We start from the raw sequence: 15,283 nt of genomic DNA, 5'->3' as shown, positions 1-15,283 counted from the left end.
AAAAAACCTTTTAATGATCACCTTGGCTAAATGAATGACTTATTTCACAGTGACCTGTGATCCTATTTGGGCCAAGTGTTTTCAATCTTTGACATATTGGACAAGCTTCCCCAAATCAAATTTCAAATTCAAAATTAAGTCTTTTTTTGACCTCAAATTAACTTTGGGATGTTACAGAGGTCCCCTACAACAGTCAAAAGAGATAATAAACAGGCTTATTTTATACGTAAAATTACATGAGAAACAGTGTCAAATAAGAAGTGATGTTTAAACTCCATCGAGTTATATTTTTATAAATATTAATATATATTCCAAAATTGTATAAGATTATGAAAATTCTCATGTATCTCAGTATATGTTATCAGACATAATTATGGTTATTACGTTAAACTATTGTAGGCCACAGAAATAACCAAATTTCCTTCTCAATTGTGTCTTTATGACCATTTAAAGTCATTTCCACAGTTAATTACTTAATTCTAAAGCAGTTTCTAATATTAGGTTGGTGCAAAAGTAATTGCGGTTTCTGCTGTTCAAAGTAATGGCGGCTGGGCGCAGTGGTTCACGCCTGTAATCCTAGCATTTTGGGAGGCTGAGGTGGGCAGATCACAAGGTCAGGAGTTCGAGACCAGCCTGGCCAACATGATGAAACCCCATCTCAACTAAAAATACAAAAAATTAGCCAGGCATGGTGGCACACACCTGTAATACCAGCTACTCGAGAGGCTGAGGCAGGAGAACTGCTTGACCCTGGGAGGCAGAGGTTGTAATGAGCCGAGATTGTGCCACTGCATTCCAGCCTGGGTGACAGAACGAGACTCCGTCTCTAAATAAATAAATAAATAAATAAAGTAATGGCAGGCTGGGTGCAAGTGGCTCACCCCTGTAATCCCAGCACTTTGGGAGGCCAAGGTTGGTAGACCACTTGAGGTCAGGAGTTCGAGACTAGTCTGGCCAACAAGGTGAAACCCATCTCTACTAAAAATACAAAAAAATTAGCAAGGCATGGTGGCATGCGCCTGTAGTCCCAGCTACTCGGGAATCTGAGGCAGGAGAATAGTTTCAACCAGGAAGGAGGAGGTTGCAGTGAGCCGAGATAGCACCACTGCACTCCAGCTTGGATGACAGAGCGAGATTCCGTCTCAATAAATAAATAAATAAATAAATAAATGTATGGCAGTTATTAAAAATAACTTCACAAGCAAATAAAATCCTATTTTGTCTTCAAGGAGGTTAATGGAAAAGATGAAATGGACCTTGGTAAGCACTCCTGAAGATAGGTTTCTGGTAACTTTAGGATCATATCGTTTGGACTGAGTAAGAATTACCAGAACCATATTGAAGAGACAGAGTGATATATAAAACTGCTAACTCAAGCAGCACAAGAATTAAATGAATACCAAGAAAATACTTGGCCAGATTTTCATGCTAACTCAGTCAGTACTGAAACTATTAAGATACATAATTTGAATGAACTCCATGGTCCAGGTCAAACTACCTATGATAACCCATCTAATAAACAGTGCTGTGCACCTCCATTGGAGAAAGAAAATTGCTATGTAAGAGGATACAATTCCAGTGTTAAGCATGGACTCATGGAGAGAGACTGGACAGCCGGCTGCCTGCTCCTTCCTGAGTCCTTAAAAATTCCATTACTAGAAGCTGTATTCCATGATTCATCAAGGAAGAGATAAAATGTATATACTGGCCGGGCATGGTGGCTCACACCTGTAATCCCAGCACTTTGGGAGGCCAAGGTGGGCTGATCACCTGAGGTCAGGAGTTTTAGACCACCTGGGCCAACACGGTGAAAGCCTGTCTCTACTTAAAAAATACAAAAAATTAGCTGGGTGTGGTGGCAGGTACTTGCAATCCCAGCTACTTGGGAGGCTGAGGCACAAGAATTGCTTGAACCCGGGAGGTGGAAGTTGCAGTGAGCCGAGATCGCACCACTGCACTCTAGCCTGGGTGACAGAGTGAGACTATGTCTCAAAACAAACAAACAAACAAACAAACACCTTACATATATATTGGTGTTGTGACTGTTCTAAATTGCTAAAATGGTTTATGACCAATGTATAGTTTGTCAAACCCATAATCTTGAGAAGACAACCAAAACTTCAGGTACCTTTCTGCTACATCTGAACACTTTACAGAGGGATTTCATTCAATTGTGATTTTCAGTGCATATTTTCTGGTTGTACAGGAGCTTTCTCATACAAGTGGGCTGATGCTATAACAGCAGCTAAAAGGTTATTAGGAAATGTGTTTCTCTCATAGAACATTGCTGAAGAAATCTCCAGTGATAGAGATACTTGCCTCACTGGACTGGCTGTAAAACAGTTAAATAAGGTATTACAGATATAAGAGCATTAGGCAAAACTAACTGAATAATCTGGATTGCCTTGGTCAAAGATGTTTCAGATTGATGACAAACAGATCCACTTCCATGGGAAAACAAAAGTTGAACCCTTATGAAATAGTCACTGGAAGGCTTATGCTCCTAATAACAGAACCTTCTGTATCTTATGCTCCTAAACCTTAACGTGACTAAATGCTGCAAGGCTGTAATGTATTATGCCAAAGTGTATTTTCACCAGGTAAAGAAAGCTTTTCATGGACCACTGACTCAGGACAAGCAAACCCTTCATGATATAGAATTCAGAGGCTGGATCTTTTGGAAACACATCAGAGAAAGACTCCCCTTGTCACCCACACTGCAGCGAAACTTCAGGACCCTGAAGCTTGGGTTTGTAATCTCACAACTTAGAAAGGCCCACCCAGACTCTTGGAACCACACACCCATCAGAGGGAGAACTTAAGGTAAAGCTAATGAGGTAAGTTTCTCCCGAGAAGCAGATGGCCTCCTAGATGTGGACAGATTTCCCAAGATTGTGGATCAAGACTTCTCTGCTATCATGAGGCTTTTGGCTCTCAATTTTTTCCAAGTTCATGCCTGTTATGAACAACTAAACTGAAAAAGGGGTCTCTTGTGTACACTCACAAGGTATACTTTTATTTGTGAAGGATAAAAAAAACCTCATATTGGCCAGGTGTGGTGGCTCATGCCTGTAATCCCAGCACTTTGGGAGGCCAAGGCGGGTGAATCACGAGGTCAGGAGATCGAGACCATCCTGGCCAACATGGTGAAACCCCATCTCTACTAAAATACAAAAAATTAGCCAGGCATGGTGGCACATGCCTGTAGTCCCAGCTACTCAAGAGGCTGAGGCAGGGGAATTGCTTGAACCCGGGAGATGGAGGTTGCAGTGAGCCAAGATCACAGCCTGGTGACAGAGCAAGACTCCGTCTCAAAACAAAAACCAAAAAACAAAAAAAAACAAAAACCCTCACACACAGAGAAGTTTACGCCTTGATAGAGGGAAGATGAAGGGCCAATGTGGGTGAGAAATTTTAATGGTACCTTTTTTGCTTCATAATCAGTCAGAAACAGAGCACTGGTCAACTCCTCTTAACCTACATCATAATTTAAAGAGAAAATTGTCGGCCAGGCATGGTGGCTCACAACTGTAATCTCAGCAGTTTGGGAGGCCGAGGTGGGCAGATCACGAGGTCAAGAGATGGAGACCATCCTGGCTAACGTGGTGAAACCCCGCTCTACTAAGAATACAAAAAATTAGTTGGGCGTGGTGGTACGTGCCTGTTCTACTTGGGAGGCTGAGGCAGGACAATTGTTTGATCCCGGGAGGCAGAGGCTGCAGTGAGCCGAGATCATGCCACTGCACTCCAGCCTCAAAAAAAAAAAGAGAACATTGTCAATACAGGTTAAAGAGAATAGTGCCAGGAGGCCTTCACTCTTCTGGATGGGCATTATTTGTTAGTTTATTTTTCTATGGTGTGTTTTTTCCTTTTTGGAGACAGGGTCTGGCTCTGCTGCCCAGGCTGGGATGCAGTGGCGTGATCTCGGCTCACTGCAACCTCTGCCTCCTGGGCTCAAGCAATCCTCCCACTTCAGCCTCCTGAGTAGCTGGGACCACAGGCGTGCACCACTGTGCTCGGATTATTTTTGAATTTTCAGTAGAGACAGGGTTTTGCCATGTTGCCTAGGCTGGTCTTGAACTCCTGAGCTCAAGCAATCTGCCCACCTCAGCCTCCCAAAGTGATTGCAGATTACAGGTGTGAGCCACTGCGCCTGGCCTATGGTTTGGAGTTAATGTAATGAGGCAATGATTAGAAATTTATCTCTCTAAATTTTCTAGCCTATTAGAAATTTATAGGCTCTTTAGCAGATTCTACTGCAAAGACTATGGTTATACAAGAGACTTTAAATTATCTTGCTAAAGTTGTGCTAGATAATAGAATTGCTCTAGATTACTTACTGGCTAAACAGAAGTATCTGTGCAGCTGCTGCTACTTCTTATTGAACATGGAGGAATACATTGGATATTAACAGATTCAGTCGTAGGGGATTAACAAACAGGGTGCTTGGTTGAAACAAGTAGACTCTTATTCTAGCTTATTCTTCGATCTATTTGATTTTAGGTGGCTTGGTTCATGGGGACCTTGGCTAAGGAGCATACTCCAAACTCTTAGGGTTATTCTCCTGAGAGTCATAATAGTAGTCTCCCTGGGATACTATATTCTCTCAAAAGTTTTAAGTGTTTGCATATGGCCATCTGTAGGATGTCAAATGGTCTCTCTTGAATTGGAACAGAAACTCAAAGAAATGTATGAGCATGAGGAACACCATACTTATAAATGACGTACTGAGACCAGAAACCCAAAATCTTGGTAACAGAGTGGTGCTAAGGTCCTAAGTTTTGGTCACACTCTTACCTAAGTGAGGACCTAACCAAAAGGGAGGAATTTTTAAACAAAATTGTGGGAGGCCATTGTTTTGGACTAAGCTCATGCATGAGGCCCCAACAGACCATACCAAACCAAAATGGAGTCACTCATGCTAAGCGTGAGACAATTACACTGAAACATTAAAGAAAGAGATAGATCCTAAAATAGACCAGGTTTTGTTTTTCTCCTGAAAACAGGAAATTTCAGCACAAGGAGGTCCCCTCTACTCTTACCCTTAGGAAAAAGTAACCTGAAGTCCTTGTTCCCATTTTACAAAACCCATTGTTCTGCTATTTCCCAGTGGGATTTGAGACCAAATAAGTAAGTTTATGATGGTGACTGACATCAATGCCAATCCATTAAAAAAAAAAATTGGGGGGATAGATCAAAGGGGATAACTGTTAAATTAAGTTTTGCCTAAAGCTACCTCCTTACATCTTTTAAGTTCAGTCTAGAGGTTTCTCTGAACATCGTAAACTGTAACCTAGGCCAGGCGCAGTGGCTCACGCCTGTAATCCCAGCACTTTGGGAAGCTGAGGCAGGCAGATCACCTCAGGTCAGGAGTTTGAGACCAGCCTGGCCAACAGAGTGAAACCCCATCTCTACTAAAAATACAAAAATTAGCCGGGCATAGTAGTGCAGGCCTGTAGTCCCAGATACTCTAGAGGCTGAGGCAGGAGAACCGCTTGAACCTGAGAGGCGGAGGTTGCAGTGAGCCGAGATCACGCCACTGCACTCCAGCCTGGGTGACAGAGCAAGACTCTGTCTCAAAACAAAAACAAAAAACTGTAACCTAACTGGATGGGTAAATAGTGGATAAGCTACTTGTGTACCAAACACTGAGTTTTAGCCAATCAATTACAGCTAACTGTTCAAATCATCTTCAAATAAGGCAAATGCCAAGCTGTAACCAATCCATCTGTTTCTGTACTTCATTTCCATATTCTGTATGCCACTTTCCTTTTTCTGTCCATAAATCTTCTTCAACCATGCGGCTGCTGGAAGTCTCTCTGAACCTGTTCTTGTTCCAGGAGCTGCCTGATTTGCAAATCATTCTTTGCTCAATTATAAACTCTGTTAAATTTAATTTGTCTGAAGTTTTTATTTTAACAGAAGATATGATTAGCTCTATTTTACAAAGGTGAACATTGAAGAATAATGAGATTAAATAAATTATCCATGGTAATAAATCCAGGTAGTGGCAAATCTGGGAATTATACCTAAACTGTCATCGAAAGACAATGATGCTTGCTGCTACTATCCCACAAAAAGTAGTTGTGATATTGTGAAATATGCATTTGTTGGCCATTCCCATTTCCTAGCAGACAACTCCTAAAATCCTTAGAAACTCCTAAGTGTTATCTTTTTTATATGATACTGATTGCCTAACGGCTGGTAGCCTATAGGTAGCTTCAGGATGGGGTCTGGTCACCAGAAAGGCAAGGCAGGATTAGAGGGCTGGGACTTTCAGCCCCACATCCCCAACCTCCAAGGAGGCGAAAGGGGCCGAAGGTTAAGTTGATAACTAATGGCTAACAGTTTAATCAATGAGGCCTATGTAATGAAGCATCCATAAAAATCCAAAAGGATGGGGTTTGGAGAGCTTCTGGCCAGCTGAACACACAAAGGTTCCTGGAGGGTGGTGTACCCAGGGATGGCATGTAAACTCCACACTCCGTCCCCATACCTCACCCTATGGATATCTTTACTGCATCCTTTGGAATATCTTTTATAATAAAACAGTAAACATAGTAAGTGTTTCCCTAGTTCTGTGAGCTGCTCTATCAGACGAATCTATCTTGAAGAGGGGGTCATGGGAACCCATGACCAGAGGCCTGGACTTGCTACTGGCATCTGAAGCAGAGTGCAGCCTTGTGGGAGTGAACCCTGAATCTGTGGAATCTGATGCTATTTCCAGGAAGATAGTGTAATAACTGAATTGGAGGACACCCAGCTGGTGTCCACTGCAGAACTGATTGTTTGCTTGGTGTGTGGGGAAACCCTCCCCACATTTAGTCACAAGAGTGTTCTGTGTTGATTGCTCTGGTGTGAGAGCAGAGAAAAAACATGGTTTGAGCTTGTGTTTTTTCCATTCACAGTAGTCTATAAGGATGTCTAATAGAATGAATCAAGGAATTTACTATGACTAACAAATTTTTTCACCGAACTATTGAGAAGTTTTTTTTTTTTTTTTTTTGGAGACAGAGTCTCACTCTGTTGCCCAGGCTGGAGTGCAGTGGCACAATCTCGGCTCACTACAAGCTCCGCCTCCTGGGTTCATGCCATTCTCTTGCTTCAGCCTCCCGAGTAACTGAGACTACAGGCGCCCACCACCACGCCTGGCTAATTTTTTGTATTTTTAGTACAGACGGGGTTTCACCATGTTAGCCAGGATGGTCTCGATCTCCTGACCTTGTGATCCACCCGCCCTGGCCTCCCAAAGTGCTGGGATTACAGGTGTGAGCCACTGTGCCTGGTCAAGAAGAAACATTTTTAAAGGTTCAGTGACTAGGCCGGGCACAGTGGCTCATGCCTGTAATCCCAGCACCTTGGGGGGCCAAGGCGGGCAGATCACCTGAGGTCAGGAGTTTGAGACCAGCCTGGCCAACATGGTGAAACCCCATCTCTACTAAAAATACAAAATTAGCTGGGCGTGGTGGCACACACCTGTAATCCCAGCTACTTGGGAGGCTGAGGCAGGAGAATTGCTTGAGCCTGGGAGGTGGAGGTTGCAGTGAGCTGGGATCACGCCACTACACTTCAGCCTGGGTGACAGAGTGAGACTCTGTCTCAAAAAAAAAAAAATGGTTCAGTGATTACATATACTTCATATTAAGGCAACATCTGTTAGAACATTAGATGAGTAATTTAAAGTCTAAACACAAAAAAGTCCCAAAGCCAAGGTAATGACATGTCTTACTTCAATATTTCTTCTCTGCACTGCCTCTGTGTGGCAAAACAAGCGATAGCCCACATTTTGATTTCAACTCCTGTGTGGAATTGTTTCCCTCGCATGTCCCATACTCCATGGCTCGGTGTTGCTACTGTCCGATTCTACACGAGGAGAAAAAAATAACATGGTGAAAAAGAACAAAAATTTTCAATAAACAGAAAGTAAACATTTCAAATCGCTGAATTGAAATATTTCTGATATGCCTTTCTCTTCATACTTACAGACAATATGTGTATGATTAAAACATTAACAAGAGACTTTACCCGTCCTCCATACTGGAGCATAGGTGCTGGAAGTACGCGTCCAGTTACATGAGCCATTTCATCCCGAACTTTAAATTGAAACTCCTGAACAAATGGATCTGTTTCATAATTTGCACTTCTTACCTAAAAATAGAAAAAGTTTGTAGTTACTCTCAAAATTCCCCCAAATCCCCTACTTTAATGCATTAGAACCCTCTTTTTTTTCTTCACTGTGTCCATAATATATTTTCCAACAGGTCTAATCAATGGTGCTCTAACTACAGAACAGCGAATCTTAACCTGGGGACCATGGGTCATGAATGGACTGCAGAAATTCTGTGACCTCCTGGTAATTTATACAAAATTTGTATGTATGCATTAGGTTGAATAATACATTTTGGCCTGGCATGGTAGTTCATGCCTGTGATCTCAGCATTTTGGGAGGCCAAGCTGGAGGATTGCTCAAGCCCAGAAGCTTGAAACTAGCCTGGGCAACATAGTGAGACCCTGTCTCTACAAAAAAATTAAAAAATTAGGCTGGGCGTGGTGGCTCACATCTGTAATTCCAGCACTTTGGGAGGCTGAGGTGGGAGAACTGCTTGAGCTCAGGAGCTCAAGACCAACCTGAGCAACAAAGCAAGACCTCATCTCTACAAAAAATTAAAAAGAATTAGCCAGGTGTGGTGCTGTGTGCCTGTGGTCCCAGCTATTTGGGAGGCTGAGGTGAGAGAATCGCTTGAGCCTGGGAGCTCAAGGCTGCAGTGGGCTGTGATTGCACCACTGTACTCCAGCCTGGGGGTCAGAGCAAGACCCTGTCTCAAAAGAAAAAAAAAATCCATGAAAATGATAATAAAACTTTTTTTTTTTTAAAGAGATGGAGTCTTGCTATGTTATTCAGGCTGGCCTTGAACTCCTGGGCTCAAGCCATCTTCCTCTCTCAGCCTCCTAGATAGCTGGGAACATAGGCATGCACCACTATGTACTACCCAGCTGAAAATGTTAATTTTGTATGATTGAACCTAATATGCTTTTGGATGGAGAAAGAAATATCTCACCTAAAAAGAGGTTAAGAACCTCTGACTATGGGAGATCTGGATACATTCTATTAAAATTTATTTTGTGTAGAGTTTGATAGGAAATATTAAAAATCTTAAAGCTTTTAAAAATTATTTGATTTATAATTTATATAAAATTTACTTGACTATTTTCAGTGCCATATTATAAAATTTATTTAATGGAATACACTTAAAGACAGATAAGAAAGCCAGTATGAGTCACAGGTTATAATTTTTATATATTCCCATACATATAATCAAAGAACTTCATGTAATTCAGTGTTGAATCTCACTGAAATTCATGCTTAAAGCATGCTGCTATATAGAATCTCTCCACAATAAGCAGGAAAAGTCATTTTCTTTTCTTTTTCCTTTTCTTTTCTTTTTTTTTTTTTTGAGACAGGGTCTCGCTCTGTCATCCAGTGGTGCAATCACAGCTCACTGCAACTTCAATCTCCTGGGGCCCAAGCGATCCTCCCACCCCAGCCTCCTGAGTAGCTGGGACTATAGGTGCATGCCACATACCTGGCTAATTAACATTTTTTTTGTAGAGATGGGGTCTCACTATGTTGCCTAGGCTGGTCTTGAACTCCTGGGCTCAACTGATAGTCCTGCCTCGGCCTCCCAAAGTGATGGGGTTACAGGTGTAAGCCCCATTTTCTAAATTAGGCACCAATGGGGCATCTCTTTCAATCTTATTTGCCATGCATTTCTGTACTTCAGTGTATCCTGTAATAAGGTTACAGCGAATAATGACGACTATACTATAACAACTAATATACTATGACTTGCTGCATGATGTACTTGGTGCTAAGTGCTTAATGATACATTTTCACAAGTATTTTATAGCTACAAAAACAGTTCTTTTATAATCTGTATTTTACAGAGGATACAACTAAAGCTCAGTAAAGTAAAATGATTGCCAAAAACCGCACAGCTAAGTAAGTGATGTAGACAGAATGTGAAACCATGTATATTCTGATTCTAGAGTGTCTACTCTTAATCACTGCATTATCTTTCCAGATACTATAAATATAATAATAGTAACAGTAACAGTAAGTAAGTGGAGAAGCCAGACTTCCAACCCAGGGTTGTTAGACTCCAAAGTCTGTTTTATTTTTTTTAAACTACCATATGATACTTTCTGAACAGTTAAGCTGTAATAAATGAATTAGAACAGTGAGTTATTGAGACTTTTATAGACAAAGTAAGAGGTCTTAGTCTCTGATTTTGAGAGTTTTTAAAATCTTATAGTAGAATCAGAGAAAAATCCAAGATGAAAACCAGCATATATTTTCCTAATTAAATATCATGTAATAACTTTCTTTGACTCTTTACAGAAGAGTCAATAAGGAAAAAAAAAAGTATTTTTTCTGCAGTTGGCTTACCAAATAAAAGAGCCAGTTTTTGCCAAAGGTGAAATTACTAAGGTTAAAAAATAAATTAAAAGAGCCAGTTTTGCATCCCTATTTTCAATAATCTTTAAAATTGCTTTTGGAAGTATTATTAAGTTGTTTTGGGAAATATTCATATTTCCAGATTTTTTTCTCTTTGCTTGGGCAGTTAAAATGGTATTCGAGAACAGAGCCAGATAAGATTCAGATGCCCTTTAATCTTGAGTTTTGCCTTACTCTATGAGTTTTATAAAGCGGTATTGGTAACGCCTTCCTTCCCCTCATTTAGAACAATGAGACAGCACAGAGACCTTACGTGGTTAAAGCTATCTTCTATTTCCTTTCTTTCTTTTCTTTCTCTCTCTTTTTCTCTTTCTTTCCCTCCCTCCCTCCCTCTCTCTCTCTCTTTTTTTTTTTTTTGACAGAGTTTCGCTCTTGTTGCCCAGGCTGGAGTGCAATGGCACAATCCCGACTCACCGCAACCTGCGCCTCCCGGGTTCAAGCGATTCTCCTGCCTCAGCCTCCTGAGTAGCTGGGATTATAGGCATGCGCCACTATGCCTGGCTAATTTTGTATTTTTAGTAGACACGGAGTTTCTCTATGTTGGTAGGCTGGTCTTGAACTCCCAACCTCAGGTGATCCGCCCCCCTCGGCCTCCGAAAGTGCTGGGATTACAGGCATGAGCCACCGCACCCGACCTTCTTTTTCTTTTTTTTTTTTTTTGAGACAGAGTCTCACTCTGTTGTCCAGGCTGGAGTGCAGTGGTGTGATCGGCTCACTGCAGCCTCTGCCTCCCAGGTTCAAGTTATTCTCATGCCTCAGCCACCTGACTAGCTGGGATTACAGACACATGCCACCATGCCCCACTGATTTTTGCGTTTTTAGTAGAGATGGCATTTTGCCATGTTTCCCAGGCTGGTCCCAAATTCCTGGCCTCAAGTGATCCACCCGCCTTGGCCTCCCAAACTGCTGGGAATACAGATGTGAGCCACTGAGCCCAGCCATTTCTTTATTCAGACTGTACAGCTGCCACTGTGATACTGGGGACTAAGCAATCTTAGACTGAGTGTTAAGAATTTTAGTATTGGCCGGGTGCGGTGGCTCACGCCTGTAATCCTAGCACTTTGGGAGGCCGAGGCGGGCGGATCACAAAGTCAGGAGATGGAGACCATCCTGGCTAACATGGTAAAATCCTGTCTCTACTAAAAATACAAAAAAATTAGCCAGGCGTGGTGGCATGCGCCTGTAGTCCCAGCTGCTGGGGAGGCTGAAGCAGGAGAATGGTGTGAACCTGGGAGGCAGAGCTTGCAGTGAGCCAAGATCGTGCCACTGCACTCCAGCCTGGGTGACAAAGCAAGACTCCGTCTCAAAAAAAAAAAAAAAAAAAAAAAAGAATTTTAGTATTGCTAGTCATAATTCTTTGACTTTTCCTCCTATTTCCCACCTCTTTTAGGTGGAGGTTCCAGTTTACTAAATGGAAACATTTCTTCTGAGAGGATCTGTTCCCTGGATCTACTTAAAAAGCTCAGGGTTAAATGAGAAGGACCTAACCCTTCTCATATAGCCCACCAAGGCTTGTATCAAGAACATTAGATTACTTCCATGATTGCTTTTAATTCTGACAGTCCATGAAATGGTCATAAGGTATGGGTTGATAAGGACATGGTTCTCTAGTATTACAGTTCACCCTAATATGTTTTAAATTCTCATTTCTAAGGTTAAGTACTAACCAATCTGCTAATTTCCTCTTGTCTATCTGGTGCAGATCTTGCTGTTGCCTTGATCATAGTGGAAGTCTGATTGTCTGTTAGCTTCTTGATACATCGTTGCCCTGCCACAATATTACAGACCTACAAATGGAAAAAAGTTTTGTACTACATGTATATATCTTTTTTTTTTAGCTCTTACTTAGTGCCAATTACATGTAAATAAAAATTTAAAATCAACTTCATTAAACCACTTATTTTCAATATGTTAAGTAAAAAAGTAGTAAACAAGACAGCTCTACAGTAATTAAGTATAATTAAGTAAAATGTACACCAGATGAAGACTGAAAGAAGTATAGTATACCAAAATGTTAACAGTGGTTACATTAGAGTGGTAGGATTATGGATGAACTTGTTTCGTGTTATTTCATTACAGAAAATTTAGAATAAATTAAAACTTAAAAACAGTTCATATTCCAAAATAAATGTTCTGTATGAGGTAAGTTATCGGCCATAAAAGACCCCAAAAGAATCATGAACAACAGGGTATTAATTAGCAGTGTGAAGGCATTACTTCTAGTGGCAGGTAGGTGTGTTTCTGTTCCTGCCCGACTTGCAGACAGGGAAGGTGCGGGTACTTCAGCTGAAGAGTATACTTTTCTCTGAAATACTGCGCTACTGTTCTCTCCACAGTTTGGCCGTTTTCTAACTGTAAAGGAAAGCTGAGGAAAAAAAAGTACACATGAACAATTCTTGCCCATTATGAGCCAGAAAAACTCCCAACCCCACTAACTAGAGCAAGCTGCCTCACACCATCGCTGCTCTGACAAACTTTTCTTACGTTTGATGACTGGCAGGCCTCCTTGTTACATTACAAACACGGTATTTCCGTCTCATTGTTCCACAATGAGTCACTTCAACCTTCAAACCTGTTCCCAACAAGAAAAATGGAGGTTACAGAACTGTCACATGTAAAATATTTATACTTATAAAGCCTGTTCATTACCATAAAAACTCAATTCTGAACAGACAAAAAATTCTGTGATACAGGCAAGATGATATAAACACCAGATTTTACATATAACATTGCTAATAATGGTCACAGTCATGACAGACCTAATGGCAAAATTTTTCCTTACCCCATCAAGCTCTACACATTAAAAAATAAAATCATAAAATTTGCAAAGCCCATAGATCAAGGGCCAAAATCTTCCATTAATAAAAAATCCTGTTTATAATAAATTCAGGTATTTATGCTGGGAGAGGGAAGGAGGAATGAAAGAGGAGATCCAATAATTCTCAAGGTATTCCATAATTTCAAATTATGTGATATTTACCTAGCCCAGTCATCACATACTGCTTGAAGATCAGAATTTTGTAAAGCTCAAGAAAGAAGTCCTTTAAAGATTTATAAAGCAGGAGAAAAAAATTCCAGGCATTTTTAACAGAAGCAAAGTGACACTTTTATAGAGGTATAATATAGTGACACAGCTCTTTTCCAATACTATTAAAAATCAAATGTAACCAAAATAATTCCTAAAGTAGGTGATCCCTACCCTCTTATGGAGTCAAGATCCCTTTGAGAATCTGATGTAAGCAATAAACTCTCAGCAAAATGCACATATACATAATTTAGCACATGATTTTAGGAGTTCTTGGATCCCTGCCGTCCATCTGTGGACTCTAGGGGTTCAAGGATCCCAGGCCTGCTCTAGAATGTGAAGAAATGGGCTTTAAGCTGTTGGCTGAAGTTCTTCGAGATGAATTTTCTGAAGCAGTGCTGTCAAAGAGAATTTTCTTGAGGTGATGGAATGTTCTACATTTATGCTAATATGGTAATCACTAATAACATGTTACTAAGCATAAGAAATGTAGCTGGTGTACCTAAGAAACTGAAAATTTAATTTTATTTAGGTTTTTTTTTTTTAGTTTTTTGCTCTTGTTGCCCAGGTCAGAGTGCAATGATGCAATCTTGGCTCACTGCAACCTCTGTCTCCAGGGTTAATGTGATTCTCCTGCCTCAGCCTCCCAAGTAGCTGGGATTACAGTACCCGCCACTATGCCCAGTTAATTTTTATATTTTTAGTAGAGATGGGGTTTCGCCATGTTGGCCAGGCTGGTCTTGAACTCCAGACCTCAGGTGAACCACCCACCTTGGCCTCCCAAAGTGTTGAGATTACAGGCGTGAGCCACCACGCCCGGCCTTTATTTTAATTAATTTAAATTTAAGTAGCTACATGTGGTTAGTGCAGTCTTAGCCTAGAGAAGAGTTAACAGGTACACAGAGGTCACAGATAAGCAACTCCTTTCTAAAGTTTGGCCTAGACTCCAAGGGATAAAGTCCAAAATGGGGTAGATGGAGAACAACTTTTAGTTCCCTGATAATACTTATGGTTATTACTCTTTGTCATATTTCTCTTTCATATTTGTGATTCCTATACTGCAGTGGTTCTTAGCCAGAGGGCAATCTGTCCCCCAGGGGACATTTGGCAATGTCTGGAGACAAACTGATAGGCATGACTAGAGATGCTACTGCTTTCTATTGAGTAGAGGCCAGGGATAGTATGAAATATCCTGTAATGCAGAGAACAGCCCTACCCCTATCCCAACAAAGAATTATCCAGCCCAAAATGTCAATGCTGCTAAGGTTGAGAATGCCTGCTATGGTAAAATTTATTTTCTTACCTAACTGCTACCTGCAATTAGGTAAGAAAATTAGTACCAAACACAAAGCTCAATCATATAAATGATATTTTCTTCTGATAGATCAGAACAAATTAAGATGTTAAATGGACACGGTATCCATCCCTGTACCAGATTGGTATGGGTTTGTTTTTCTTTGGAAGTGCTCCTCCTTGAATCAGTGAGTAGTAATTTTTCATTACAACTACCTTTATAAGACAAAAATGTCAGATCAACTAGAGAATTACTATGTCTTTATATTATAAAGGAGACTAGAAAATAAAATACTATCGAAGGAGGATCTTAAAAGAAGGAAATACTAATAATATGAAGAAACAAGACGTAAAAATATTATGTTCAGGGGAGAACACAATAGAAAAGTCTAAAACAAATTTCTGTTATTTGCACCACTTAGCAATTTATTTTCAACTCTTCCCCTTGA

The 15,283-nt window shown here is 40.8% G+C and overlaps 1 protein-coding gene and 1 long non-coding RNA gene across 10 annotated transcripts in view, besides 1 other annotated feature; one reads left to right on the top strand and one right to left on the bottom strand.

The window, feature by feature from the left end:
• AGO3 (argonaute RISC catalytic component 3) overlaps positions 1-15,283 on the bottom strand; it is a 141,783-nt gene that overhangs the window by 50,723 nt on the left and 75,777 nt on the right. For all 9 annotated transcript variants that reach the window (XM_017000523.3, XM_005270575.5, NM_024852.4 and 6 more), the window contains 5 exons: positions 13,001-13,088; positions 12,734-12,881; positions 12,184-12,303; positions 8,026-8,148; positions 7,730-7,863 (listed from right to left, as the gene is read on the bottom strand). In XM_017000523.3, coding sequence (XP_016856012.1) covers positions 7,730-7,863; positions 8,026-8,148; positions 12,184-12,303; positions 12,734-12,881; positions 13,001-13,088 — 613 coding nt within the window. The remainder of the gene's footprint in view (positions 1-7,729; positions 7,864-8,025; positions 8,149-12,183; positions 12,304-12,733; positions 12,882-13,000; positions 13,089-15,283) is intronic.
• Positions 117-12,399, top strand: LOC105378647 (uncharacterized). Its single transcript, XR_001737972.2, has 3 exons — positions 117-2,837; positions 8,262-8,353; positions 11,907-12,399. It is a non-coding gene; the product is annotated as an uncharacterized LOC105378647 (long non-coding RNA).
• Positions 12,800-13,301: an enhancer, noted in NCBI's record as "NANOG hESC enhancer chr1:36474078-36474579 (GRCh37/hg19 assembly coordinates)". NCBI's record gives its function as "activates a minimal SCP1, AML or CMV promoter by ChIP-STARR-seq in naive H9 embryonic stem cells {active_cell/tissue: H9 hESC(naive)}" and the evidence as "EXISTENCE:reporter gene assay evidence [ECO:0000049][PMID:30033119]".

This window comes from Homo sapiens, chromosome 1 (assembly GCF_000001405.40).
Source record: "Homo sapiens chromosome 1, GRCh38.p14 Primary Assembly".
Lineage (NCBI taxonomy): Eukaryota > Metazoa > Chordata > Mammalia > Primates > Hominidae > Homo > Homo sapiens.
The sequence above is the reverse complement of the archived record's forward strand: the minus strand, read 5'-3'. Positions and strand labels throughout refer to the sequence as shown.